Here is a 27405-nt window from a genome sequence, read left to right as displayed (position 1 = left end):
TTTGGAGCTTGTTTGGTCTTATATCTGGGTAATATTCCACCTTTGGTGATACGGACCCATTTCCAAATAAGAGCAACTGGTGCTTTTTAAAAATTAGCCTTACCATGTATTGCCATGAGTAGGATGACTTCAGACGTTTGGATGGATGGATGCAGACAGGTAGATAGTTCCTGATAGATATGTTTTTTTAATTCCATAAAGAATGAGAAATCAGTCGTGAGAAGGCGAGGCCTCCACTTGGGCAAACAGAAGTGAGTTTCCTCACGCAGCTTTTGAGCTCAGTGAAGTGCAAAGCAGAACTCTTCTTAGTGCAACTTTCCAACAATGCATTGTTTTACATATTTTTAAGTCTTTAAAAAACTTTTCTGAGATATAACTTACATACAGTAAAATTCCCCCTTTTAAGTATCTATGAGTTTTGACAAATGAATGGTCACGTAATCACCGCTTCAACCAAGACATGGGGCACCTCCATCACCCCAGGCATCCCACTGTGCTCCCAAAATTAGAACAGGGATCCCCTTTTTAGGGGCCTGTGGACCCCACACATAAAAAGCCCTGAGTTCCTTCAGAAAGAAATCCAGACACCTAGCTAGCCCCAAAAGTAAAGAACTTACTAAAACAAAATAATAAGCTAAGACAATAACTAAAAAAGTTAAAGTCCCCAAAATGTTTACTTTCCCTGTAAAACCCAAAGACACACCTTAACGTATGTTACTGAGTCGTTCAAAACCTCAGAACCCCTCTAAGATCTCCCGTCAGACAGATCCAGACACATAAACCTCAAATTTAAGAAAAGTAAAAACTAATCTTTATTCATCATCCTTTGTTCTAAGCGGTCACTCCCCCTAGCCAGTGAACATTTTTCTACTGACCCCAGATCGTTAAACAAAGCTTCTCTTCCTTAACCAATTGCAAATCAGAAAACCTTTGAATCTGTCTACAACCTGTAAGCCTACACTTGAAGACATGCTGGCCCTTTTAAGTCTAAACCAACCAACAATAGAACCTTCTATATTAATTTATAATTTTGCCTGTAACTGTTACTTTCCACCCACCTTTAAAAATCCTTACCTGCAAGTCATCGGGGAGGTCAGAATTTAAACATTCAGCTGCCTAGTTCTCCATACTTGACACCCTACAATAAAAACCTTTCTTCCTATCACTGGAAACCTTGGTGTAAATGTCCAGTTTAACTATGGCAAACAGACCCCAGTTTGGTTCTGTAATACTCCTTTGTAGTCAAGCACTACCCCTACTCCCAGCCCCCAGCACCGGATTTTGCTTCAATTGTCCTATATAGTTTTATCTTTTCCAGAATGTCACATACCTGGAATCCTACACTATATATTTGCATGTGGCTTTTTTCATTGAACAAATGACTTCAAGATTCTTCCTGCTCTTTGGTGGCTCACTGTTCCTTTCTTTTGATTGTTGAGTGATATTCCATTGTCTGATCGCTCCACAATTGCTTTATCATTCACCAGTTCAAGGACGTTGGCTTTCTTTCCAATTTGAGAGGTTTATGAATTAAGCCATTATAAACATTTGCATACAGGTTTTGTGTAAACAGACATTTTTCTTTCCCTTGGGCAAATACCTAGGGGTGAGATTTCTAAGTCACTAGGTAGATGTATGTTTATACGAAATTGCCAAACCGTCTTCTGACGTGAATGCACCACTCTGCACTCCCACCAGCAAGGTCCAAGCATGCCCACAGCCCCATCAGAAATATTCGCCACCACTTGGCATTGTCAGGCTTTTTTTTTTTTTTCTTTTTTTAGACAGCGTCTCATTCTGTCACCCAGGCTGGAGTGCAGTGGCATGATCTCTGCTGGCTGCAACCTCTGCCTCCTGGGTTCAAGCAATTCTCCTGCCTCAGCCTCCCGAGTAGCTGGGACTACAGGTGTGTGCCACCACGCCCAGCCAATTTTTGTATTTTTAGTAGAGACGGGGTTTCACCATGTTGGCCAGGCTGGTCCTGAACTCCTGATCTCAAGTAATCTACCCGCCTCGGCCTCCCAAAGTGCTGGGATTACAGGCGTGAGCCACCACGCCCAGTCACACTTTTGTTTTCGTTTTTATTTTTATTTTATTTATTTATTTTTCTGTTTATTTATTTATTTATTTTGAGACGGAGTCAGGCTCTGTCTCCCAGGCTGGAGTGCAGTGGCTGTGATTTCGGCTCACTGCAAACTCTGCCTCCCAGGTTCACGCCATTGTCCTGCCTCAGCCTCCCGAGCAGCTGGGACCACAGGAGCCCGCCACCACGCCCGGCTAATTTTTTTTTTTTTTGTATTTTTAGTAGAGACAGGGTTTCACCATGTTAGCCAGGATGGTCTCGATCTCCTGACCTCGTGATCCGCCCACCTCAGCCTCCCAAAGTACTGGGATTACAGGCGTGAGCCACTGCACCCGGCCTTGTTTTTGTTTTTAATTTTAGCCTTTCTACTACTCATGTAGTGAAATCTCACTGCAGTTTTAATTTGCATTTCACTAATAGCCAATGATTTGGAAAATCTTTTCACATGCTTATTTGCCATCTGCAGATGGTTTCTGTGAGGTGCCTGTTCATAGCTTTTGACATTTTGTACTCTGGGTTGTTTGAGAGTTATTTATGTATTCTGGACACAAGTTCTTTATCAGACATATGTTTTGTAAATATTTTCTTCCAGTCTGTGTCTTGTCTTTTCATTCATGTAATGGTGTCTTTCAAACAGCAAATTTTTTTTTCAATTTTGATGAAGTCTAATTTATCTGCCGGTTTTCTTTGATGAATCATTCCTTTTTTTTTTTTTTTTTTTTTTTTTTTGAGACAGAGTCTCGCTCTGTCGCCCAGGCTGGAGTGCAGTGGCATGATCTCAGCTCACTGCAAGCTCCGCTTCCCAGGTTCACGCCATTCTCCTACCTCAGCCTCCCGAGTAGCTGGGACTACAGGCGCCCGCCACCGCACCCGGCTAATTTTTTGTATTTTTAGTAGAGACAGGGTTTCACCATGTTAGCCAGGATGGTCTCAATCTCCTGACCTTGTGATCCACCCACCTTGGCCTCCCAAAGTGCTGGGATTACAGGCGTGAGCCACCACGCCCAACCAATGAATCATTCTTTTGATGTCATTATCTAAGAAATCTTTTGCATAACTCAAGGTCGCGAAGGTCTTTTCCCAGGTTTACTTCTGGAAGTTTTATAATGTTATGTTTTACATTTAAGTCTGTGATTCCTTTTGAGCCAAATAGCGCTTATGACCCAAGGTGTGGATCAAGGTTCGCTTTTCCACACATGGTTGATGTATTGTTTTAGCACCATCTATTTTAAAAACTATCCCTTGTCCCTTGACTTCTCTTCGCAGCTGTATTAAAATGTATTGACAGGCACGGTGGCTCACGCCTGTAATCCCAGCACTTTGGGAAGCCGAGGAGGACAGATCGCCTGAGCTCAGGAGTTTGAGACCACGCTGGGCAACATGGTGAAACCTCATCTCTACTAAAATACAAAATATTATCTGGATGTGGTGGCGCACACCTGTAGTCCCTGCTCCTCAGAGGCTGAGGCACAAGAATGGCTTGAGCCATGGAGGCGGAGGTTGTCGTGAGCCAAGATCACACCACTGCACTCCAGCCTGGGCTACAGTGAGACTTCGTCTCAAAAAAAAAAAAAAAAGTATTGGCCACATGTGTGGGTGTTGTAGCTCCATTCTTTCCCAAGCTAGTCCTTCATCAGAACCAGGCTGTCTTGACAGCGTATAGTCAGCCTCAAACTCAGATAATGCAAGTCCTCCAGCTTTGTTCTTCTTTTCTAAAGTTGTTTTTGGTGATTCTGAATCCTTTGCCTTTCCATCTAAATTTTCAAATCCACTTGTGAATTTATGCAAAAAGAAAATGTTGCTGAGATCTTTGGGGGAATGAATGTATAGATCAATTTGGAAAGAATTTTACACTTTAACAATACTGAGTCTCCCAATCCGTGAACAGAAGAGTGTATCCCTCCAATCATTTAGGCCTTCTTTGATTTCTTTCATCATTGTTTTGTATCTATCGTAGACATCTTGCACAGATGTTGGATCTGTATCAAAGTTTGTCATGGATTTTCCTTTGGGGAGAGTGCTATTATAAATCGTACTGTTAGCCACTGCAGTACATTGAGCTCCATAGAGACAGCGCCGGGGCAAGTGAGAGCCGTACGGGCACTGGGCGACTCTGTGCCTCGCTGAAGAAAAATAACTAAACATGGGCAAAGGAGATCCTAAGAAGCCGAGAGGCAAAATGTCATCATATGCATTTTTTGTGCAAACTTGTCGGGAGGAGCATAAGAAGAAGCACTCAGATGCTTCAGTCAACTTCTCAGAGTTTTCTAACAAGTGCTCAGAGAGGTGGAAGACCATGTCTGCTAAAGAGAAAGGAAAATTTGAGGATATGGCAAAGGCGGACAAGACCCATTATGAAAGACAAATGAAAACCTATATCCCTCCCAAAGGGGAGACAAAAAAGAAGTTCAAGGATCCCAATGCACCCAAGAGGCCTCCTTCGGCCTTCTTCCTGTTCTGCTCTGAGTATCACCCAAAAATCAAAGGAGAACATCCTGGCCTGTCCATTGGTGATGTTGCGAAGAAACTGGGAGAGATGTGGAATAACACTGCTGCAGATGACAAGCAGCCTGGTGAAAAGAAGGCTGCGAAGCTGAAGGAAAAATACGAAAAGGATATTGCTGCATATCAAGCTAAAGGAAAGCCTGAGGCAGCAAAAAAGGGAGTTGTCAAAGCTGAAAAAAGCAAGAAAAAGAAGGAAGAGGAGGAAGATGAGGAAGATGAAGAGGATGAGGAGGAGGAAGATGAAGAAGATGAAGAAGATGATGATGATGAATAAGTTGGCTCTAGCGCAGTTTTTTTTCTTGTCTTAAAGCATTTAACGCCCCTGTACACAACTCACTCCTTTTAAAGAAAAAAATTGAAATGTAAGGCTGTGTAAGATTTGTTTTTAAACTGTACAGTGTCGTTTTTTGTATGGTTAATACACTACCAAATGTGTCTTTAGATGGCCCTGTCCTGGTGGTATTTTCAATAGTCACTAACCTTGCCTGGTAGAGTATGGGGGTTGTAAATTGGCATGGAAATTTAAAGCAGGTTCTTGTTGGTGCGCAGCACAAATTAGTTATATATGGGGATGGTAGTTTTTTCATCTTCAGTTGTCTCTGATGCAGCTTATACGAAATAATTGTTCTGTTAACTGAATACCACTCTGTAATTGCAAAAAAAAAAAGTTGCAGCTGTTTTGTTGACATTCTGAATGCTTCTAAGTAAATACAATTTTTTTATTAAAAAAATAAAAAAATAAATCGTACTGTTTTTGCAATTTCAATTTCCAATTCTTTGGTGCTAGTATAGTTAATTTTTGTTCATTGACCTTGTAACCTGCAGCCTGGCTAAACTCACGTGTGAGTTGAAATTGTTTATTTGTAGATTCCTTGGGGTTTTCTGTATAGATAATCATGCCATCTGCAAATAGAGACTGTTTTATTTTCCCGTTTCCAAACTGTATGTGTCTGTTTTAATTTTCTTGCCATATGGCACTTGCTAGGACCTCGGACATGATGTTGAACGGGAGTGCGGTGAGCGGACATCTTTGCCTTGTTTCCAGTTTAGTGGAAGATCATTGAGTTTTTTGCCATTAAGTATGATGCTAGCTGTAAGTTTTTGTAGGTACTCTTTTTTACATTTTATTTCAAGAGTTTTTGGGGAACAGGTGATTTTTGGTTTCATGGATGAGTTCTTTGGTGGTGATTTCTGAGATTTTGGTGCACCCATCACCTGAGCAGCATACACTGTACCCAATATGGAGTCCTTTATCCCTCACCCCTCTTTCACCCTTCCTCCCGACCGAGTCCCCAAAGACCATTGTATCATTCTTATGCCTTTGTGTCCTCATAGCTTAGTTCCCACTTATAAGTGAGAACATAACGATATTTGGTTTTCCATTCCTGAGTTACTTCACTTAGAATAATGGTCTCCAACTCCATCCATGTTGCTATGAATGCCATTATTTCATTCCTTTTAATGGCTGAGTAGTATTCCATGGTATATATGTACCCCATTTTGTTTATTCACTCATTGGTTGATGGGCATTTAGGCCAGTTCTATATTTTTGCAGTTGCAAATTGTGCTGCTGTAAACATGCATGTGCAACTGTCTTTTTCATATAATGACTTCTTTTCCTCTGGGTAGATACCTAGTACTGGGATTGCTAGATCAAATGGTAGTTCTACTTTTAGTTCTTTAAGGATTCTCTGTACTAGTTATACTAGTTATACTAGTTTACATTCCCACCAGCAGTAAAGTGTTCCCTTTTTACCACATCTACACCAACATCTATTTTTTTTATTTTTTAATGATGGCCATTCTTGCAGGAGTAAGGTGGCATCTCATTGTGGTTTCAATTTGTATTTCTCTGATAATTAGCAACGTTGAGCATTTGTCATGTTTGTTGGCCATTTATATATTTTTTTGAGAATTGTCTATTCATGTTCTTTACCCACTTTTTGATGGGATCATTTGTTTTTTTCTTGCTGATTTGTTTGAGTTCCTTGTAGATTCTGAATATTAGTCGTTTGTCACATGTATAATTTACAAATATTTTCTCCCACTATGTGGGTTGCCTGTTTACTCTGCTGATTATTTATTTTTCTGTGCAGAAACTTCTTGGTTTAATTAAATCCCATCTATTTATTTTTGTTTTTGTTGCATTTGCTTTTGGGTTCTTGGTTATGAACTCTTTGCCCAACCCAATGTCTAGAAGAGTTTTTCCAATATTATCTTCTAGAATTGTTACGGTTTCAGGCCTTAGATTTAAGTCTTTGATCCATCTTGAGTTGATTTTTGTATAAGGTGGGAGATGAGGGTCCAGTTTCATTCTTCTACATGTGGCTTGCCAATTATCCTGGCACCATTTGTTGAATAGGGTGTCCTTTCCCCACTTTATGTTTTTGTTTGATTTGTCAAAGGTCAGTTGGCTTTAAGTACTGGACTTTATTTCTTTATTCTCTGTTATATTACATTGGTCTACATACCTGTTTTTATACCAGAATCATGCTGTTTTGATAAGGATGGCCTTGTAGTATAGTTTGAAGACTATGTAATATGTGCCTCCAGAGTTGTTCTTTTTGCTTAGTATTGCTTTGGCTATGCAGGCTCTTCTTGAATGTAAATGGCCTAAATACTCCACTTAAAAGATACAGAATGGCAGACTGGCTAAAAATCTACCAACCAAGTATCTGCTGTCTTCAAGAGACTCACCTAACACATAGAACTTAAGGTAGAGGGGTGGAAAAAGATATTCCATGCAAATGGAAGCCAAAAGTAAGCAGGAATAGCTATTCTTACGTCAGACAAAACAGACTTAAAAACAACAACAGTGGGGAAACAAAAGACAAAGAGGGACATTAGATAATGGTAAAAGGATGAGTCCAACAGGAAAATATCACAATTCTAAATATATATGCATCTAACACTGGAGCTCCCAAATTCATAAAACAATTACTACTAGACCTAAGAAATGAGTTCGATGGCAACACAAAATAGTAGTGGGGGACTTCAGTACTCCACTGACAGCACTAGACATGTCGTCAAGAAAGAAAGTCAGCAAAGAAACAATGGACTTAAACTATACCCCAGAACAAATGGACTTAACAGCTATTTACAGGACACTCTACCCAACAACTGCAGAATACATACTCTCTTCACCAGCACATGGAACATTCTCCAGGACAGACCATATGATAGGCCACAAAACAAGTCTCAATAAATTGAAGAAAATCAAAATCATATCAAGTACCCTTGTAGGTACTCTTTATCAGATTAAGGACATGTTTTAAAATTTCTATTTCTTTACTCTAGTTATTTTCTCTTTACTCTCTACATACTTATATTTACTTATTTCTATTTTATTTAAATGACATATCTTCATATTTAAAATAGGTGTTTATTATTTATACAGTTTCTTTTTCATCCAGTCCAACCATCTTTGTGTTTCAATTGGTATATTTGGACCACTTACATGTAATGTTATCATTTCTGTAGTTGTATTGTTTTCTCTTTTTCCTTGCCACTTTTTGGATTATTTTTTATGGCCCATCAGAGCCTCGGCTGTCTGCTTTTCCCCAGGAGTGACCACGGGCTGTCCTCTGTGGCTGTGGTGAGTATGGGAGTACAGTGCTTCACACAGCCTGGCACAGCAGTCAGCAGAGGTGAGCCGCTGGTAAGTGCTCTCCTCCGATAACCCGCTAACAGTGGACTTTCAGCTACGCTGTACTCTGTCTGGGGAAGCAACTCCAAGCCGTGATGAACATCAGAGCCCAGAGCAGGCTGCAGTGAGCAAGCTGGGCAGGACTGAAGTCAGTGGGGTCTTTTGTTAGGACCCAGCACGCTGGCAAACAGACTTCCACTGCTCTTGATGGTATCCTTTTTGTAAGTGGTAGGAAGATACACATAAAATTGGCCGTCTTACCGGGCGCGGTGGCTCAAGCCTGTAATCCCAGCACTTTGGGAGGCCGAGGCAGGCAGATCACGAGGTCAGGAGATGGAGACCATCCTGGCTAATACAGTGAAACCCCGTCTCTACTAAAAAAAAAAAAAAAAAAAAAAAAAAAAAAAATTAGCCAGGCGTGGTGGTAGGTGCCTGTAGTCCTAGCTACTCAGGAGGCCGAGGCAGGAGAATGGTGTGAACCCAGGAGGCGAAGCTTGCAGTGAGCCGAGATCACGTCACTGCACTCCAGCCTGGGCGACAGAGCAAGACTCCATCTTAAAAAAAAAAAAAAAGAAAATTGGCCATCTTAGCCATGATACGTACAGTTCAGGGGTGTTAGGCACATTCCCCTTGTTGTACTCCCATCTCCAGAACTCTTTTCATCTTGCCGAACTGAAACTCTGCCCCCATTAAACATTAACTCCGTATCCCCCTCCACCCAGCCCCTGGAGACCTCCATTCTCCTTCCCATCCCTTATGAATTTCACTACTCTATGTGCCTGGGTTATTTCACTGAGCATAATTCACTGAGGTTCATCCATGCTGTAGCCTGTGTCAGAATTTTTTTACCTTTTTAAGGGTGAATAATTTTCCTTTGCATGAGGGGGATCACATTTTGTTTATCTGTTTATCTATTGATGACACTTGGGTTGGACAGTTCTCATTTTTAAAACTTGAAGTTTAATTAAGTGAGAATGAATCGACACTGGAGGGAGAAAGGATCTCCTCAGAGGTGAGCGAAAAGCCCCCCACTCCCAGTGCACATGCCCCAAGGACCACAGCACTGTTGAGAGGTCACCAGAACATGACAGAAGACAAACTGAAATCACGGCAGTGCCTCTCCCCTCTTGCCAGGGTGGGGCTCTGTATTTGCATTGACCAGGACAGGGTCATCCAGGGGCCCAACTCTGAGAATGTTCCCGACCTGTCTGGAGCCATGCCCCCTCCTGCTCTGCTCCATCCTCCCGCAAAGCAGCAGCCGGATGAAACAAAGCTCATGTTTCACCAGGCCCCATGGTAAATGCTATTGGAACCCCCAAAAGTTTTCTGAAGACTGGGTTTGTTCTTATTACTTAAGGTTGATCTAATCCATCCCAAGACTTGCATTGCTGAAACAGACTGTAGCAGAAACACATGATTCTCACCCATTTAGGGATTTTTCGCACGTCCAGACACATGACAGTTAGCGTATTAGTCGGTTTTCACACTGCTGATAAACACATACCCGAGACTGGAAAGTAAAAGTGGTTTAATTGGACTTACAGTTCCACATGGCTGGGGAGGCCTCACAATCATGGCGCGAGGTGAAAGACACTTCTTACTTGGCGGCGGCAAGAGAACATAAGGAAGATGCAAAAGCGGAAACCCCCGATCAAACCGTCAGATCTCATGAGACTTATTCGCTACCATGAGAACAGTATGGGGGAAACTGCCCCCATGATTCAAATGATCTCCCACCATGTCCCTCCCACAACACGTGGGAATTATGGGAGTATAATTCAAGATGAGATTCAGGTGGGGACACAGAGCTAAAGCATACCAGTTAGTAAATGACAGTAGAGAAGCCCACTTTCCCATAAGTCAGCGAGCCTGTCTTTATAAATGGCTCAAAGGTTTCCTTCTAACTAAAAAAAGGGGAGAAAAAAGGGTCCCTTTTGTCCCTGACATATGAAAGCCAGCATTTTCTGAGGCAGCTGCATTCCCTGATTGGGGCCGAGGGCCGGACCCTGGGCTCCTCCCTTCCTTGACCCTCCCTGCCCGCGCCAGGCCTCGGGTTCTCTGGGAAATTGAATTGGATCCTGGTTTCCCATCAAATCCAGCAACTGCCCATCAGCTCAGGATGCCTTCCATAACTATCTGTAGCATTTGCTCCCCAAATTTACTTAAATAATTTTAAAAGAAAACTCTACTGTTACCAAAAATGGAAAATCATTTTCTTAATAAGCAGGAGGGATCCCCCAAAGTGAATGCATTGAACCCTCCTCGTGTCTTTAACTTCTGTTGGAGGCTGGGACACAGGAGGCTGGCTGCCAGTGGAGCCTGCCCGAGTGTGAAAGTCAGGCTCACCCCTAAATAAGAAACCTCTTTGTAATCACAAGGATTGGAAAATAACTGGAAAGGGCAGACCTGCCTCAGCTCGGGACTCTATGTTTTTAAGTACTGTGCCCATGCACTTCCACAATTCATCTTGCAAGGCTGCAAGCCACTTAGAAATGAGTGCTGAAAAAACAGAAGCCTTGAACGTGAGGGATGCGGGCTACAGGGCGTTTCTGTCCAGCCACCTGCACGGCCTTCATTCAGCTGAGGTGTCCGTGAGCACTGCACAAGAAGTACCAATTACAAGGCCAGTCCAGGGCTCCGGAGTCAAATTAAAACTGTGTCCCAGTTCCTGCCCCACCGCTAGGTGACCTTAAGCAAGGCCCTAGACTTCTGGGAGCCCGATTTCCTCAAGCCAATCAATACACGTTAATTGAATGCGCTTCCCAGCTACCAGGGAAATGGGGAGGAGAAAATGTGGTTTTCACCATAAGGATGCCGAAGACCTCTCCTTGCCCTCTCCTCCCCCTCTCCTCCCCCTCTCCTCCCCCTCTCCTCCCCCTCTCCTCCCCCTCTCCTCCCCCTCTCCTCCCCTTCTCCTTCCTGTTTCCTTCCTGTTGCTTGGGGTCCTGCAGAGCAGGTGCCCCCTGGCCTGTGTTACAGGGCTTCTCTCAGAGGCATGCTGGGAAGCAATGGCTTTGGGGGGACCCCTGTTTGTAGCATTTGCCATTTCCATGCTGGCAGATTTCCTGCTATCCAGAGGACGCACAGGAATGCACGTCCAGACCTAAAGCATTTCCTTCCCCCAAATGCAGCCGAGGTGGCACCCCAAGAGCCTGGGGAATGGTGAAGTGCAGTATGCTAATTAGGGAGTGAGGTGTCCTGAGGAGCTATTATCTCTGTTTTTAATGTAATTCCTTTAATTACATGTTTGTATCATTTAATTTTAATATTGGCCATATTTAACAACACATATGCAAATAATCTAGCCATCAGCGTTTGTAGGTTCACTGGCAGGAGCCGGGTGGTGCACACTGTGGCCTGCTGAGCCTGCATAGACAGAAAGTTCCACAGTAGCTCCCCCGACACAGCCCAGGGCAGGGGCTCAGGCAGCGCCTGCACTCCGTGTTCTCCCTGCCTGCTCTTGGTTGCACCTTCCGGTGTCACTCCAGTCTTAGTGGGGCTCTCCTCTCCTGGTGGCACAGAGGTGGACAACAGTCCCAGGGGTCCCAAGGGATCCTTGGGGATCCCAGCTGAAGGTCTCTGGCCTCTGGGTCCCAGCGATGTCCTGAACCAGGGGCCATACGGTGCTTGGCTTGGCCGGCCCTGACCACTCCCCTCCCCTGGGTCTGGAGGTGGAGGGCAGCATTATGTGGACTAGAGCTGGGGGCAGGTGTCCCAGGGAACATCTGGTGGCATTAGGGAAGAGGGGGCTGTGACTGTCCGGCAGTCAGAAACATGGAGGGTCCGCCACAACCTCAGAAGCTCCTGGTCAACTGTGCAATCCTGTTTCAGCATTCTGTCGGAGGCTTTACAATCTCGAGATATTTTTAAACCTTTTGGTGCTTGGGGTTGTCAGATTTCGGAAGTAATACACCCTTGTTTAACAGGGGAAACAGTAATATTCAGCCCTGCATGAGAGTGAGGTAATCACCTCCACAGCCCCTTCCTCCCCCACTTGCGGGGGGCTCCTTCCACGCCCCGCTGCTGGCTGTGCTGACTCAGACACACGTGCACGGTGCAGGGGTTGCTTTGCATTTGCTACCGTAGACCCAAAACACACACAGGATTCTGCACCTGGCTTTTTTTCACTGCACAGTAAAGCTTGGGGTTCCCTACCAGAGAGAGCCCTGCAAACAGGAGGGTTTGCTCTCACTAAACCGGAGGCTGGGAGCCTTTTCATTCATTGCTCCTTCTGAAGGCGTAGAAAAGCAAAGATCTCTTGAGATTTCTAAATTTGGTCAGAGTGTACAGGGCCGTGCAGGGTGCCTGTGTGCTAAAAATATCAGCCCGGGTCTGGGGTGATGGCTGCGCGCTCAGAGAAGGGGCTGTGGGGAAGATGGCTGGAGGCGTACCTGGGGTCCCAGACAAGGCTGCCTCAGCCTCCTCCAAGGGCCTGGGCCTCCCCACACTGACATCCATGCTGCCAGCCATGCGTGCGGCACAATCATGGCTTAGGGAAGCTGCCCCAAATTGAGTAACCCTTCACCTGAGGTCCTACACCCAGGGGTTGAACACCACCTCGGGATTGGGATCCTGTCTAGGATTCACCCGCACCGATATTTACTTATTTCCAACTCACTTTTTAAAATCAAATGCATTTATTTTAAAATAAAATCTCACAGTGCTACAGTACACGGGAAACCCATATCACTTGTCTTAAATGGTAATGATAGGTAGACATCATATATCTCATATATAAAATTATAATAGGCCAGGCGCAGTGGCTCACACCTATAATCCCAGCACTTTGAGAGGCCGAGGTGGGCAGATCACCTGAGGTCAGGAGTTCGAGACCAGCCTGTCCAACATGGTGAAACCCCGTCTCTACTAAAAATACAAAAATTAGCTGGGCATGGTGGCAGGTGCCTATAATCTCAGGTAATCGGGAGGCTGAGGCAGGAGAATTGCTGGAACTCAGGAAGCAGAGGTTGCAGTGAGCCGAGATCATGACATTGCACTCCAGCCCAGGCAACAACAGCAAGACTCCATCTCAAAAAAAAAAAACAAACACCAAAACAAAAATACAAAAATTAGTTGGGCGTGGTGGTGCACACCTGTAATCCCAGCTACTTGGGAGGCTGAGGCAGGAGAATCCCTTGAACCCGGGAGGTGGAGGTTGCAATGAGCCGAGATCACGCCACTGCACTCTAGCCTGGGTGCTATAGTGAGACTCCATCTCAAAAAAATAAAATAAAATAATAATATTGTTATTACTGTTATTAACATTTGTGGGTGTTTGCTCTGGGTCAGGCACTGTTCTGATACACTAGCATGTTAACTGGTTTAATCCTTGCAACAGTCCCTGGGGGAGGTCCAGGGTTGGTGCTCCCTAATAGCCTCATTTTAGGAAAGTAGTTTAGGGCCTCAAAAAGACACATCGCTGCTAAACCAAAGACAGGGACCACTGAAATCGTAGTGAAACACCTCTGGTGGATTTTGGATCTGAATTTGCTTCTGCATTTGCTTTATTCATTCATTCACTGATTCCCTCATTCATTTGTTTGGCAATGTCTGCTGAGAACCCACTCTGTGCCCCACACTGGGAAGGCGGAGAGTGGGTCCTGTCCCAGCCCTCCTTAGCAGGACTGCAATGGGGAAGGCTGCATTAACCAACAGGCATGGTGTGGTGGGCACTTCGGAGCTACAAGATGGGTGAGGAACAGGGTGTTCACCAGCCTAGGCTAGGAGGGTGCTGCTGGGTCAAGTTTCTAAACTTTTAAGGATGAAAATAGGTGAAATTAGGGAAGAAAGGAGGAGGATATGGGTGAAAAAATGAAAAAATGGGTGAAGCAAGTTTCATGTCTTCATTGGATACCCCTATTGTTAACATACTGGAAGAAGAATTTAACCTCATTTTCCTTATCTGTAAAATGGAAACAATGGTACCAGCTTCAAAGCATAACGCCAGATTTTTGTTTTGTTTTGTTTTTTGAAACAGAGTCTTGCTCTGTTGCCCAGGTTGGAGTGCAGTGGCGCGATCTCGGCTCACCGCAACCTCTGCCTCCTGGGTTCCAAGCGATTCTCCTGCCTCAGCCTCCCGAGTAGCTGGGATTACAGGCGTGGGCCACCGTGCCCGGCTAATTTGGATAACATCAGTTTTAAAACATTACAGCTGTGCCTGCCACAGAGTAAATGCTCAAAATATGTGACTGATCATAATCATTATTTTTATTACTGTTGTTGGCAAATGATTGTGTTCTCCATTTATCATAGCTACGTTATAAAGTTTATTGTTTTCATATATTTGATTTTTTAAAGTGAGTTGGCATGGCAGGCTCTCGGCGAGTTTAAGCTCTTATCCGTGTGACCATCTTCGCCCTCATTTGCATGCGCCCTGGAATTTCACGAGCACACCAAAAAATTAACCTGCAATTTCCCCATGTCCCTTTTGTCTTCCTGAGGCTTTATTTAGAAAGAAGTGGAAATCCAAGACCACTCTTGTAAACTAATAACAATTCATTTATTTGATGGGGGATTTAAATTCCTTACCAAATTGTTAAAAGCAACTCAATAAACAGTAATATTTCTAAGCAGCCACAATTCGCAGCATGGGGCGTCCTACCTCTGATTCAGACGGCAGAACATTTATCTTTCACGACCAAAGTCTCTCCCAGCAAAGCAAGGTGGTTTTGCAAGATCCTCTACCCAGAGTAACCAGACTCAACTCGAAAAAGTTTAATTTTGCCTCATCTCTGTCCACCTCCAAATGTGTCCAGCACGTGTGGAAATCGTGACGTTAAGGAGGAAGCGTCTGCTTGGGGAAAATTAAAACTCCAGAATCCCATTTAAATCTGGTGACAGAAGTTAGAGCTGGACTCTGAGTCAGGCCAGCCTGGCCTATTCCAGCCACCACCTCCCATTTGTAAGGAACACCAAGCTAGTCACCGTCTCCCAGCTTCATTTCCTCATCCTCTCTCCGTGCCTCAGTTACTGTCTCTGGAAACAGGCTGCCTCTGTGACCCCGGAGATCTTGAAGTGAGATAATACAGGGACACCGGCTTAGTACAGACCCTCGTATTTAATTAGTGGTAAGCAAATGTTTCCTATCATCATTGTTACTAATACTATTATGATTATTGCCGTCTACAGAATGGGGACAAGCTCACTGCGGCTGCAAGGGGACCTGGGAATACAGGGAGCAACACTGGGTGGCAGCTGCCCTTTAAAAGCAGCTCTAGAAATCTGGACCGAGCTGTGAACAGGCATCCAGGGTGCCGCGGGGAGTGAATGAAACGCCGAAGAAGAGACATCTCAGAAGGGCTGTAAAAGGAAAAGAGAAGGGAGGCTGAGGAGGGCGGAGCACTTGAGGTCAGGAGTTCAAGACCATCCTGGCCAACATGGTGAAACCCCGTCTCTACTAAAAATACAAAAATTAGCCGGGTGTGGTGGCACGTGCCTGTAATCTCAGCTACTCAGGAGGCTGAGGCAGGGAGAATAGCTTGAACTCAGGAGGTGGAGGTTGCAGTGAGCCAAGATCGTGCCACTGCACTCCAGCCTGAGTGACAGAGCGAGACTGACTCAAGAAAAAAAAAAAAGAAGGAAAAGAGAATCCTTAGGAAAGAGAATGGGACTGCAAAGGCAGGAGAAAACAGGGTCTCCTTCCCCACAACACACATGGCCAAGCAGAGCCCACAGTCTATACAACTGAGGTGGGAGCTGGGTGGGGCCTTCTGCTGTCACCTGTCATGGTCATAACAGGAATCGCAGTTACCAGAGCCCCTGTGGATGTCCCAGGCACCCCTTAAGCCAAGTGGTTTATACCAATTATGTTGGATTGATTTCATCTGTAATCTTCATACCTGTCCTGGGAGGAAAATGCCATCATGATCCACCTTTTACAAATGTCAAAAGCAAGGCACAGAGAAGTTAAGAAACATATCCCAGGTCACACAGCTCAAAGATGGAGCTGGGATTTGAGCCTGGGCAGGGTGATGCCAGAGTCCACCTGCTCGACTGCCCTGGATCTGCCCCAGCCGCCTTCAGAGAACGGGTGCTGATGGCCCCCTCGGCTCTAGGTCTCAGTGGAAAACCACCCTTGGCCATTTGGTGTTTAACTCCCAGATTCCACTCTGTCCTCTGTTGCGGCTGGGATCAGGGCTGTGAGGCACTTGCTTGGGCCTTGGGTGGGAGGGGGCGTGTCTGGGGATGTGAGTGCCAGAAAGAGTGAATGGCCTTGGGAGCGGGACAGAGACAATCTAGGGAGGCAGGGACCCCCCGCGGGCCTGAAACCACAACGGCTGAAGCTGGGCGGGGGGAAGCCCGGACGGGCCCAGAGGTCTCCTCGGGATCCACGGAAGGAAGATGCTATGGACACGGCTTTCTGAAGTTTCCTTGGGACCCCAGCTCACAGCTGCCCTTCTGTGTCTGCACTGGCTACTTCAAAAAATTCAGATCTAGCAGAATTTGGAGCATAATTTCCAAATGGCAATTCTGTTCCTAAAACTGAATCCAACCTGTTGCCTAATATAATCCCAGGAGCTCTTTACTGAGCCTCCAAAGAGGTCATTCCTCCAGCCCTGGGACCTGAATTCTGCCAGCGCCCAAGTGGGTAGGAAACAGAGGAACACAGCCCGGCAGACACCTTGCCCTCAGCCCTGTGAGTCTATTTCATGCTTCTGGCCTCCAGAACTGGAGGGGAATAAATGTGTGGTGTTTGAGTCACTACCTTTGTGGGCATTTGTTACAGCAGCAATAGGAAACAGGTGCATTTCCTCTGTCGTTTTTATTAATAGAATGTTAGTAATTTGCTGGTGTTGCTAGAGTTGCTGAGTGGCAAGCTGGGAACTTTACAGTCACTTCATCCGAGTCTGGCCAGCAGGAGGGACCCGGCTCAGAGGAGGAAGGACGTTTCCCAGGCCCCACAGGACCTGAAGCCTGGTCAGTCTGACACAGAAGATACCACACTCAGGCAGTACCCACCAGTGTCTCTACATCTTGATATGGTCTATGGCTAAAAATGAGACAATTCTTAGACCCATAGAAGGATTCTACTGAAGGAGACTCTAAAAACCTTTTAATCTGATTTTAGTTAGTCAGATGAGCAAAAAGAGGCCCAGAAGGATCAGGTGACTTGTCCAAGAACGCATAGCCAATTGCCTTAAATGGAATGATGCTGTTCCATTCAGCTCCTCCCCGTGGCCGGAACAGATCTGATTGAGTAGACTACAGCAGTATCCACTCTTGCCCTCTCTTGCCCTAGTTGTAAGACCCCCAGTTTTCAGGGGGTTGCATGGCCACCCAGAATAAAGACTACATTTTCCTTGCAGTGAGGTATGGCCACGTGAAACAGGGAGGTGAGCAGAAGTTTTCTCAAGTGTTCTTTAAAGGAACAGGGGACATCCTTCTCTGTTCCTTCCTTTTTCCTGGCTGGAAAGAAGATGTGATGGCTGGAGCTCACGCAATAATTTTGGACCCTGAGGATGGCAGAGTCATGAGTCACCCTAAAGACTTTGTGGAACCTCCTCCTGGCCCTGGAATGCTGCCCCGGACTTCATTTTTATAGGAAAGAAAAATATGCCAGGAGAATCCCGTTTCTTTTTTAAAGAGCGATTGTGATTTCTGCTTGTTTTGTTTTCTGCCCCTTGTAGCCAAACCTCATTTAACTAATAAAGGAAAATATTCAAGTGACAGACCTTCTGGGGAGAGAAAGATGTGATGTTTCAAAGACAGCTTCTAGTAAAGGCTCAATGCCAGCCTCCCCCTCCACCATGACTGCTGACCCTTCTAAGATCCCACTCTGGCCAGCTGCTGCCAAAATATGGCAGAAATTGTGCCAGAAAGTGCCAGAAATGGTGCCCTGTCTGCATAATCCAGGATGGTTCACCCCCAACTCGGCCCTCCCCGTGCCTCTGAGTACCCCCAGTGGCCGGATGCCAGCCACAGGACCATATCCAAATCTCTAACCACAAGGGGGGCGGGAAATGGAGGGTGCGTTCTGGGCCTCCACCTGACACTCAGGGGCTTGTTACTACAGAGAGAAAGGATCCTGGAGCCATCTAAGAGTCCTTGCCACATGGGGGCTCGACAGCTGTTGGGCAGACATCAACTTGATGAGCAAATCCCCTTCTTGTCCCCTAGGCCGAGGGCTATACTTCCCCAAACTCATCCTCCTACAAAGAAGCAGATATTGAGATCAGGGTTGTACCAGAAAATCCAGGCCCTCTGGTGTGTCCATCCTTTCAGAGGTGCAGGGACTAGCTCAGATCTCGGGCTCTGCAGTCAGACGGCCTGGGTTCAGATCCTGACACTGTCTCTTATTTAGCTGGGTAGGTGCGTTCATTTCCTGGGGCTGCTGTAAACTGCCACAACTTCAGTGGCTTAAAACAGCACAAAGTGATTCTCTTACAGTTCTGGAAGTCAGAAGTCTAAGATGAGCTAAAATCCAAGTGTTGGCAGGGCTGCACTCCTTCTGGAGGTTATGGGGAAGAATCCATTTTCTTGCCTATTCTGGCTTCTAGAAGCCTGCGTTCCTTGGTTCATAGCCTCTTCCTCCATCCTCAAGGCCAGGAAAGACTGGTCTTGTCTTCCTCATTCTGACACAGACCCTCCTACCTCCCTTTTCCACATTTAAAGGGCCCCTGTGATTATACTGGACCCACCCAGCAACCCATGATAACTTCCCTCTCTTAAAGGCAGCTGATCGGCAACCCTAAATCTATCTGCCACTTAATTCCCCTGGCAAGGAAGGTAGCACATCACAGGTTGCAGGGATTAGGACATGGACATCTTTGGGAGCTATTACTCTGCCTACCTCAGCAAATTGGAAACAATTTTACCTCTCTGAGTCTGTTTCCTCACCTCTAAAAAGAGAATAGGAAATATCTAGCTCCCATGGACATTGCAGCAAAGAAAAAATAAATGGACCTGAAGCAAGGGCCTCAAACTGGGCACCCACAGGCTCCACTCAACCAAGGAGCATGATTCGCCTCCCATCCAATCTCCATGAGTTGCTAATATTTTTTAACTGGCAAATTTCACATTAAAATTCAGATTTCCTGTTTCTCTTAACTCGTAGGAGGCTCTCACCCACTGGATCTGCTTTCTGGGGTGTTGACAATCAGCTGTACTGAGCCGTGGCTGCCCCTTTGGGATGGGCCGTGGTTCCCCAGTTCACCACAGTCCCCACTTTTCCCTATTGTCTCTCCCTCAGTCCACTTCTTCCAATTACACACCCTGCCTGGCCCCCAGAGGGAGCTCGATTTGGGACATTTGCGAAGAAGCATTGGCAGGCAGAAGCAGCTTCATAAAGGATAGTTAATATTATTTCTATTCACTAAGATCCATTAACAGGGCAATTCTCAAGTTTGGCTGTGCATTAGAATTCCCTAGGGAACTTTAAAAACTGCTAGTGCCCAAGCCACACCTGCATGAAATACACGGGAACTCTGGGATGAGGCCCGGTTCAGGATTGCTGCAGCTCCCCAGGGATTCTGGCCAGGGCATTTTCAGACGCTCCCTGGGAGCTAGAGCTCAGGCAACGTGGAGCAGACGGAGCTCAGGTGCAAGGCTGTGGGGCAGAACTCGCCTCCCCAGCGTCCCCCCGCAGGCAGAGAGGAAGAGAGGGCCAGAGTGTGGATTGTGAAACCACTAATGAAACATGCCAGGCTGCAACAATGAGCTATGGCTGTCTGCACATCCGCTTCCTGCTGTGAAGAGCTGAGGGGCTGCCCGGACACTTGTGGAAGCTTTCAGAACTCAGTGAGTCCTTCACAGAGTGGTGGGGGCGAGTCCACAGCTTCCTTTTCTTCTCTCTGTACACTCCCAGGATGTAGGGACCTGTGAGGCCCCCCGGCTGCTTGTGCAGTGATCATCCTCCTCCTGCTCTTTATTCCAGAGATGGGAAATCTCTGCTGCACGGGTACCTGAAAGTTCTGGCAACTCGGATGCAGGATCAAAATGTGGTTCCATTGTTGGCGATGAACCATAAGCCATACCATTTATCATTATTTATTATTATTAGAGAGAGGGTCTTGCTCTGTTGCCCAAGCTGGAGTACTGTATTAGTCCATTCTCATGCTGCTAATAAAGACATAGCCAAGACTGGGTAATCTATAAAGGAAAGAGGTTTAATGGACTCATAGTTCCACATGGCTGGGGAGGCCTCGCAATCATGGCAGAAGGCGAATGAGGAGCAGTCACGTCTTACATGGCGGCAGGCAAGAGAGCTTGTGCAGGGGAACTCCTATTTATAAAACCTTCAGATCTTGTGAGACTTATTCACTACCACAAGAACAATACGGGGGAACCCATACTGTTCAGTTATCCCCCTGTGATTCAGTTATCTCCAGCTAGCCCTGCCCTTGACACATGGGGATTATTACAATTCAAGGTGAGATTTGGGTAGGGACACCACCAAACCATATCAAGTACAGTGGTGTGATCACTGCTCACTGCAGCCTTGAGCTTACAGGCACAAGCAATCCTCCCACCTCAGCCTCCCAAGTAGCTGGGACCACAGGTGCCCACCACCACACCTGGCTAATTTTTAATTTTTTCGCTATGTTGCCTAGGCTGCTATTGAGCTCCTGGGCTTAAGCAATGCCCCTTCCTTGGCCTCCCAAGGTATTGGGATTACAGGTGTGGTCACCGCTCCAGCCCCCATTTATTAAGTGTATTGAACAAATATTTATGGAACACCTGCTGTGTACCAGGTGCTATTCTAAGTGCAAGGAATAAAAGGGATGGAGTCCTTGCCTAAAGGAGTCAGTGAAATACCAGGTGGCACAGAGGGTGTCCATGCTGTGGAGGAAGGGCAGCAATGGGAGCAGGGAGCTCTAGGAAGAGGAGGGTGAGTTAATCATTTCTTAAGGGGGTGGTGAGAGAATTTGACAACTGAGCAAAAGGAGAGAGTCTTGTGAGAGAGGGAGGCCAGGCAGGGGACAGCAAGGGCCTGGGGTAGGGGTGGAAAGGGTGCCTAAGGACCATAAGCCACGCTGGCTCATGGGACCCTGATCCAGGATTCCAACAGGTGCTCACCTAATCCCTAAGCCCAGGCTCTGACCCCCACGCTCAGGTGGTTTTGCTCCATCTCTGCTGAAGTCTAGGTTGGCCCCTCTGCAAGTTCAGAAGTACTGCAGTGGCTGCCCTGGTTAGCGCCCGCCCCGAGGTCCCACCCAGTCCATCCTGCAGCCCTGTAGGGGAGAGGCAGAGGCTCAGAGGGTACAAGCCACTGGCTGGGAGGCCGAGGGGCCTGGATAGGCCTTGCTCTTGTGCCATCCAGCATCGTCCTGGCTCTTGCATTCACGAAGTGTCCCTTGGAAAGAACAGCCTGGGCAGCCAGAACTTCCTTCATTACTCCCTCGCAAGGGAGGGGGACAGGCGAGGCCCAGATGCCTGCCCTCTTCCAGACAGTCCTCACAGAGAGAATGGTCCCCCCAAGCAAGGATGTCTCCGTGATCCTGGGGGCAGGTCCCACCTCTGGGGGTGCATAGCCCAGGCCCCCCGGGCCCACTCAGAAGGCAGACACCTGGGCCAGGGCAGGGGACTGTTCCCTGTTGGCCTCCGAATTCTGGACAGCTGGCTTTTGTGGGGAGGCTGCAGGCCCCAAGCCCATCCCCCAACCTCACCCACCCAAGCATCACCCTAGAGACAGAGGGGAGATCCGGGAAGTGTGGCAGCTGCCACTCCATCTCCACCGGCCAGTGCGGCCACCTTGGACTCATGTGTTAAAGGAAATGGTGAGGGCAACCCCGAAACGTAAATCCTTGTTACCGGCTCCCAACCCACTGCAGTTTAGTTTCCAGGGCAGGAGAAGCTAAACGACCCCCACTCCAAACCCCCACTGGGCACTTGGCCAGCACAATTGTGCCTGCCCTGGAGATTAGGGGAAATGGAAACAAGACGGGAGGGAAGAGAAAAGGAAAGGGGAGAGAGAGAGAGAGAGGATGCAGGGAAAATGAGAGAGAAGGGAAGGGAGGGAGAGAGGGGAAAGCAGGCTATGGCTCTCCCTGCACTGCCCCAGGGAATTAAGGCTTCTCTTCTGCCCTAGATGGGGGTTCCTAACTCAGCCCCTTTGCAGGACCCCAGCAGCTGCCGGACAGGAGCAGTGCTGCCACCCGCACGGGCCTGTGGGCGCTGAGCAGCTCCGGTGCACAGGCAGAGAGGCTCCCGTCCAAAAGGCAGGTGAGACTAGGCTAGGGTCAGGCGGATGCTGGGCAGATGTTGAGGGGTCAGGGACCTTCAGCCCCCACCCCTCCCGCAGAGATCACAGCCCCCTGAAGGAGCCTGGCTGGTTGTCCTTGGAGCCAGGTCTGCAAAATGTATTCGTGCCACTTCCAGGAACCTCACCTAAGGTGAGAGAAAAGTGGGGAGTGGAGGGAAGGGGAAGAAGGGAAGAGAAAAGGGAAGGGAAGGAGGTTGTGGGTGCAGAATTCCAGAGCCCTTTCAGATAACAAAGGACTATTTAAAATGACCTAAATCTTCAGCTGAGAGGCTAAGCTAAGCTAAGGGTACAGCCTGCAGGGTCCGCTGATTTAACCCAGCCCTGCACTCAACCCTCATCTAATGGGAATCCACACAACCACCTGTGAGGTAGGTCCTGTTCCATGTCACAGATGGGGAAAGAGGCTCACTGGTAGGAGGAAGGCCGAGGGCCGAGGGCGCTGATAGCTTCGCCTCTCACACTCTGGTCAGCAAAGCTGTGAAGCCATTGCGTTCACCTCAGGGCGGTGCCGGCAGCCAGCTGTCTGCACTCTTGACAACATTCATTATTCTTCCTGTCACTTTAAGGCCCCTGGACAGACCAGATGCACAACGCCCAGGTGGATCAGGAAGGGAATATGTAAACTGGAACCCGGGTGAGCTGGTGGTGGGATTCTAGCACCCCCTTTTCATTTAAAATGTTCTTAAATTAGCTTTAAACAAAGAGACTTTGAGAGGCTGAGTTCATTTCATGGGAGAGTTCTTTGCATAGAAGGTAGAGCTTTCCACCTAGATGAGCTAGGAGTTCAAAGTGAACCTCATGCCTCATTTGACAGTGAGAAATCTGGCTGCCCTTTGCCATGCAAGACTCTCCTCAAGGAATTCCCCCCCACCCACCCCACCCCCAGCCAAGTCATCCCAGGGCCGAGCTCAAATGTCCCAGGGCCAGGCAAGCCAGCTTCTGCGGGCCAGTGGCCCAGGCGGAGACAGGAGGGAGTGCTCTGTGTGTGCGTGTGTGTAGGGGTACATTTGCATGTGCACCGTGCCATTATTCTTACATAGAGCTGCTAATTTGCGATCTTCAGCAACATTCTTCTTTGCTGGAAGAGCAGCTGGGCTTGCTTGCGATTAGCTGTTCTGGGTTCCCTTCTCGGTCCTCCTCAGAACAGTGTGTCTCCCCGTGGTTTTCCATGACCCAAAATAGCCAGAGGCAGGCTATTTTTACAGGACTCTGATAGAAGCCAGGCCAGGTGGGCGCTGGAGTCGGAATCCCTAATTGTCCTTTATCATCCAGACCTCAGCCATCAGGGCGGGAGCCTGGAGGCACTCGAGAAGCCCCAGGAATGTTCCCACTGGCGACTGTCTGGGGAGAGCCGGGGGAGCCCATGGCCGGCTATAAAAAGGACACTCAGGCAGGTGGGAGCCAGGGACAGGCAGCCAGCGGAAAGGAAGCAGGTCCCTCCAACACCCCAGTCTGGGCTGCTCCTCTCCCAGAGCCTAAGGGGCTCATTTCCCTAAGATTTGCCTGGCAGTTGTCTGGGGTCCGTAGTCAAAGTGCATGCAAATTCAAGTTCTGCGCCCCAAGGTTAACCCTTGATAAGCACCGTCCCTGAGAGCCCTTAACACACGCCCTGGGGAGTGGGGAGCTGGTGTTCTTTCATCCTCCAGACACACATTAAGCACCTACTGTGTGCAAGCAGTGTGTGAGGGGCTTGGTTACCAGGGTGATCCAGACAGCCTGGGTCCCATGGGGCTTAGGCGCGAATGGGGAAGATGGCAATACAGAACAATTCAGTGTCTACCATAACTGGTGAGTCTACGTGCTAGGATGAAATTTAAATCAGGATCACGCAAGAATGTTCTTAGCAGTTTATTTATAGTAGCCCGAACTAGAAACAATCCAAATGCTCATCAATAGGGTTTGGAGAAACAAAAGGTGACGCAACAGACCATGGAATATTCTAGATGGATGAGAACAGATGAGGCACCCGGCCATGGGGATGCACCCCACACACAGTGTGAGCAAAAGAAGCCAGACCAGGAGAACATACTGCACCTCCACACCCGGACCACCCCAGAGCAGGAAAAGTCACCATGTGGAGTTCAGAAAAGGACTGTGGTTGCCCTCAGGTGGGGGAGCGGTGAACCGTGGGCACGACAGGGCTCCTGGGATCATGTTCTAGTTCTTGATCTGGGTGCTGCTTACCCAGGCGTGTTCACTTTGTGAAAATTCACTCATCTGGTTTCTTAAATGTTTTACACTTTTCTGTATGTATATTTCACAATAAAAAGTGTTTATACATTTTGGGAGGCCGAGGCGGGCGGATCACGAGGTCAAGAGATCGAGACCATCCTGGCCAACATGGTGAAACCCCGTCTCTACTAAAAATATAAAAAATTAGCCGGGTGTGGTAGCGGGCGCCTATAGTCCCAGCTACTTGGGAGGCTGAGGCAGGAGAATGGCGTGAACCCGGGAGGCGGAGCTTGCAGTGAGCTGAGATCGCGCCACTGCACTCCAGCCTGGGTGACAGAGCGAGACTCCGTCTAAAAAAAAAAGTGTTTATAAAATACTAAAGCAGGGAAAGGGAGATAGAAGAGGGTGGTCCAGGAATTAGGGCTAAGATAAAATACACAATGCCCAGTTCAACTTGAATTTCAGATAAGCAGTGAATAATTTTTTAGTATAAGTATGTCGGAATATTGCCAGGCTGCCAGTGTTTCTAGGAGCCGCTGCCCCGGGAATGTGGGCCCTATCCCAGGAATCCGGCTTCCTGAGGTTTACAAACAGCACTGTAGATACCCTGTGGAGATGCACATCCCTGGTGGGACAGCAGATGGGCTGGGCTGGGATACAGCCCGGGAAGTGAATCCAAGGGCTCCAGAAGCATGCTGGGCAGCCTGGCTCTGCACAGAGAGCTGGAATGTGGTGCCAAAGAGCAGGGAAGCACCAGCGAGCTGCCCACAGGGACATCCTGTGTTTGCTGGAAGCCAAATGGGAACACCACACAACAGAGCTGGAACAGTGTCACTGGAGCCTCATGGACAATGGCCACGATGTCCTTCCTGAGTGCTCAATGAATGTTATGCAGCTCTGTTGTGATAAGCAGCAGCATTTATTGAATGCCTACTGTGTGCCAGCACTGAACTACATGATCCCAGGACTTAACACAGAGTAGCTGCTTCATAAAAAATTGATCAAAGGACCTATTTGATTCTTACAGCCACCCTCCGAGGGGTCTGTCACGGCCCCTCCACCTACCGTTTGGGTGGTGGCTGTGGAACCCTCCCCTCTTTAAGCCTCCGTTTCCATCTCTGCAAAGCAGAGATCATAACAGTGACCAGCTCACTAGGCAGTTGCACAGTGTTCCAGCCTCGGCCCTACTCACATTTGTGCTGGATCATTCTTTGCTATGGGGTGGAGCTGTCCCATGCTTTGTGGGGGATTTGGCAGCATTCCTGGCCTCTACCCACTAGATGCCAACAACACCCCCACCCTGGGCTTATTCCCTTTTTCTTCAGACAGGGTCTTTCTCTGTCACCCAAGCTGGAGTGCAGTGGCACAATCATAGCTCACTGCAGCCTCCATCTCCTGGGCTCAAGGGATCCTCCTGCCTTAGCCTCCTGAGTAGCTAGGACCACAGGGGCACACCACCACACCCGGCTAATTTTTATTTTACTTTTCTGTAGTGACAGGTTCTCATTGTATTGCCCAGGCTGGTCTCAAACTCCTGGGCTCAACTAATCCTCCCACCTTAGCCTCCCAAAATGTTGTGATTACGGGCGTCAGCCACTGCATCCAGCCCCGCCCCCAGACTGACAACCAAAAATGTCTCCAGACATTGCCAAGTGTCCCCTGGAGAGCAGAACCACAGGTTGAGAGCCACTGAGTTGTTATTTAGGATTAAATGAGTTTTGTATGGGAAACACTTAGCAGGTGGTCCAGCACCTAACAATCACTGCCAAACTGAACACTCAAAACGTGCCGGGACTAGGATGTGGACCCAGGTCCCGTCTCCTGGCAAAGCATGCACCATGCCAACACTTCTCAAACCTGACTGTGCCGGAGAATGCCAGGGAATCTTAGAAATGCAGATTCTGACCCAGAGGGTCAGGGTGGACCAGAAATGCCACCTTGGTACAAAGTATTCATACCGCTACACTCCAAGCCCCTGCTTGGAGCAGTATGAGTCTAAGGTACTATGTCGTGCCTTCAGGTGCTTAGGATCCAGGGTGGGGGATAAAAAGGACAGAGGAGACAGGTGTTTATCCAACTCTTCTCTCCTCTTTTTTTGCATGCTTGAAAGTTTTCATAATAAAAACGTGGGGTGCAGGTGGTGGGGAAAGAGCACACACCTCAAACCTTTATATGAAAATTCAAATCGTTCAACGACGGCCCGCAGGCTGGTCATCTGTTTTTGTAAATATTTTTTTACTGGAGCCAGGGCTGGATGTAGGGAGGGCAAGTAAGGCAGGCGGGTGGGGCAAGGGCAGGGTTGCATCCTGACTTTAACATTTCGATATTTTGTACATCATGGATTTTTTGCATTCATTTGGCATGAAAATGGTATTTATCTTGATGATCAGCTTTCTGTGCCTGAGGGAAGGGCCTCACTCACCTTAAATAGCCCCTGCTCTGCTTGAAGGGCTCTAGAAAGGCTCCAGAAAGGACTCCAGAAAGAAACCCAGGCCCTGAATAGCCACTGCACGGGGTCAAAACCCCACTTCTGCCCCCTACTGGCTGCATGGCTTTGGGCGGTAGCCTAAGTTCTGGGGACCTCAGTTTCCCCCTGTGAAATGGGGCCAGTAACACTCACACCACCACCTGGCAGGGATATTGTGAGGATTAAATAATGTACACAGAAGCTTCTTGGGGGTCTTAAAAATACTCGTTATGTCACCTGGGAAGCAAAGCCAAGTTCAAATCAATGCCATGGAAGCCACAAAGATGCAGGGAAAATCTGCCAGGCGCTGGGCTGGTCATTGAAGGTGAATC

The 27405-nt window shown here is 47.5% G+C and overlaps 1 pseudogene, besides 13 other annotated features; it reads left to right on the top strand.

Annotated features, from left to right (window-relative positions):
• Positions 114 to 314: a silencer, noted in NCBI's record as "peak4284 fragment used in MPRA reporter construct". NCBI's record gives its function as "represses an SCP1 promoter by STARR-seq MPRAs in K562 erythroleukemia cells {active_cell/tissue: K562}" and the evidence as "EXISTENCE:reporter gene assay evidence [ECO:0000049][PMID:32103011]".
• Positions 4124 to 5313, top strand: HMGB1P1 (high mobility group box 1 pseudogene 1; annotated as a pseudogene).
• Positions 9325 to 9424: a silencer, noted in NCBI's record as "silent region_13063". NCBI's record gives its function as "represses an Ori minimal core promoter by ATAC-STARR-seq in GM12878 lymphoblastoid cells {active_cell/tissue: GM12878}" and the evidence as "EXISTENCE:reporter gene assay evidence [ECO:0000049][PMID:35858748]".
• Positions 9715 to 9914: an enhancer, noted in NCBI's record as "active region_18162". NCBI's record gives its function as "activates an Ori minimal core promoter by ATAC-STARR-seq in GM12878 lymphoblastoid cells {active_cell/tissue: GM12878}" and the evidence as "EXISTENCE:reporter gene assay evidence [ECO:0000049][PMID:35858748]".
• Positions 11677 to 11896: an enhancer, noted in NCBI's record as "active region_18161". NCBI's record gives its function as "activates an Ori minimal core promoter by ATAC-STARR-seq in GM12878 lymphoblastoid cells {active_cell/tissue: GM12878}" and the evidence as "EXISTENCE:reporter gene assay evidence [ECO:0000049][PMID:35858748]".
• Positions 12107 to 12156: an enhancer, noted in NCBI's record as "active region_18160". NCBI's record gives its function as "activates an Ori minimal core promoter by ATAC-STARR-seq in GM12878 lymphoblastoid cells {active_cell/tissue: GM12878}" and the evidence as "EXISTENCE:reporter gene assay evidence [ECO:0000049][PMID:35858748]".
• Positions 12167 to 12286: an enhancer, noted in NCBI's record as "active region_18159". NCBI's record gives its function as "activates an Ori minimal core promoter by ATAC-STARR-seq in GM12878 lymphoblastoid cells {active_cell/tissue: GM12878}" and the evidence as "EXISTENCE:reporter gene assay evidence [ECO:0000049][PMID:35858748]".
• Positions 16452 to 16952: an enhancer, noted in NCBI's record as "H3K4me1 hESC enhancer chr20:56051358-56051858 (GRCh37/hg19 assembly coordinates)". NCBI's record gives its function as "activates a minimal SCP1, AML or CMV promoter by ChIP-STARR-seq in naive H9 embryonic stem cells {active_cell/tissue: H9 hESC(naive)}" and the evidence as "EXISTENCE:reporter gene assay evidence [ECO:0000049][PMID:30033119]".
• Positions 18166 to 18235: an enhancer, noted in NCBI's record as "active region_18158". NCBI's record gives its function as "activates an Ori minimal core promoter by ATAC-STARR-seq in GM12878 lymphoblastoid cells {active_cell/tissue: GM12878}" and the evidence as "EXISTENCE:reporter gene assay evidence [ECO:0000049][PMID:35858748]".
• Positions 19246 to 19745: an enhancer, noted in NCBI's record as "H3K4me1 hESC enhancer chr20:56048565-56049064 (GRCh37/hg19 assembly coordinates)". NCBI's record gives its function as "activates a minimal SCP1, AML or CMV promoter by ChIP-STARR-seq in naive H9 embryonic stem cells {active_cell/tissue: H9 hESC(naive)}" and the evidence as "EXISTENCE:reporter gene assay evidence [ECO:0000049][PMID:30033119]".
• Positions 19746 to 20247: an enhancer, noted in NCBI's record as "H3K4me1 hESC enhancer chr20:56048063-56048564 (GRCh37/hg19 assembly coordinates)". NCBI's record gives its function as "activates a minimal SCP1, AML or CMV promoter by ChIP-STARR-seq in naive H9 embryonic stem cells {active_cell/tissue: H9 hESC(naive)}" and the evidence as "EXISTENCE:reporter gene assay evidence [ECO:0000049][PMID:30033119]".
• Positions 21919 to 22657: an enhancer, noted in NCBI's record as "H3K4me1 hESC enhancer chr20:56045653-56046391 (GRCh37/hg19 assembly coordinates)". NCBI's record gives its function as "activates a minimal SCP1, AML or CMV promoter by ChIP-STARR-seq in naive H9 embryonic stem cells {active_cell/tissue: H9 hESC(naive)}" and the evidence as "EXISTENCE:reporter gene assay evidence [ECO:0000049][PMID:30033119]".
• Positions 22438 to 22624: a silencer, noted in NCBI's record as "fragment chr20:56045686-56045872 (GRCh37/hg19 assembly coordinates)". NCBI's record gives its function as "represses an EF-1alpha promoter that drives an FKBP-Casp9 reporter gene in an ReSE screen in K562 erythroleukemia cells {active_cell/tissue: K562}" and the evidence as "EXISTENCE:reporter gene assay evidence [ECO:0000049][PMID:32094911]".
• Positions 25308 to 25809: an enhancer, noted in NCBI's record as "H3K4me1 hESC enhancer chr20:56042501-56043002 (GRCh37/hg19 assembly coordinates)". NCBI's record gives its function as "activates a minimal SCP1, AML or CMV promoter by ChIP-STARR-seq in naive H9 embryonic stem cells {active_cell/tissue: H9 hESC(naive)}" and the evidence as "EXISTENCE:reporter gene assay evidence [ECO:0000049][PMID:30033119]".

The sequence above is a fragment of the Homo sapiens genome, chromosome 20 (assembly GCF_000001405.40).
Source record: "Homo sapiens chromosome 20, GRCh38.p14 Primary Assembly".
In the NCBI taxonomy this organism is placed as follows: domain Eukaryota; kingdom Metazoa; phylum Chordata; class Mammalia; order Primates; family Hominidae; genus Homo; species Homo sapiens.
The sequence above is the reverse complement of the archived record's forward strand: the minus strand, read 5'-3'. Positions and strand labels throughout refer to the sequence as shown.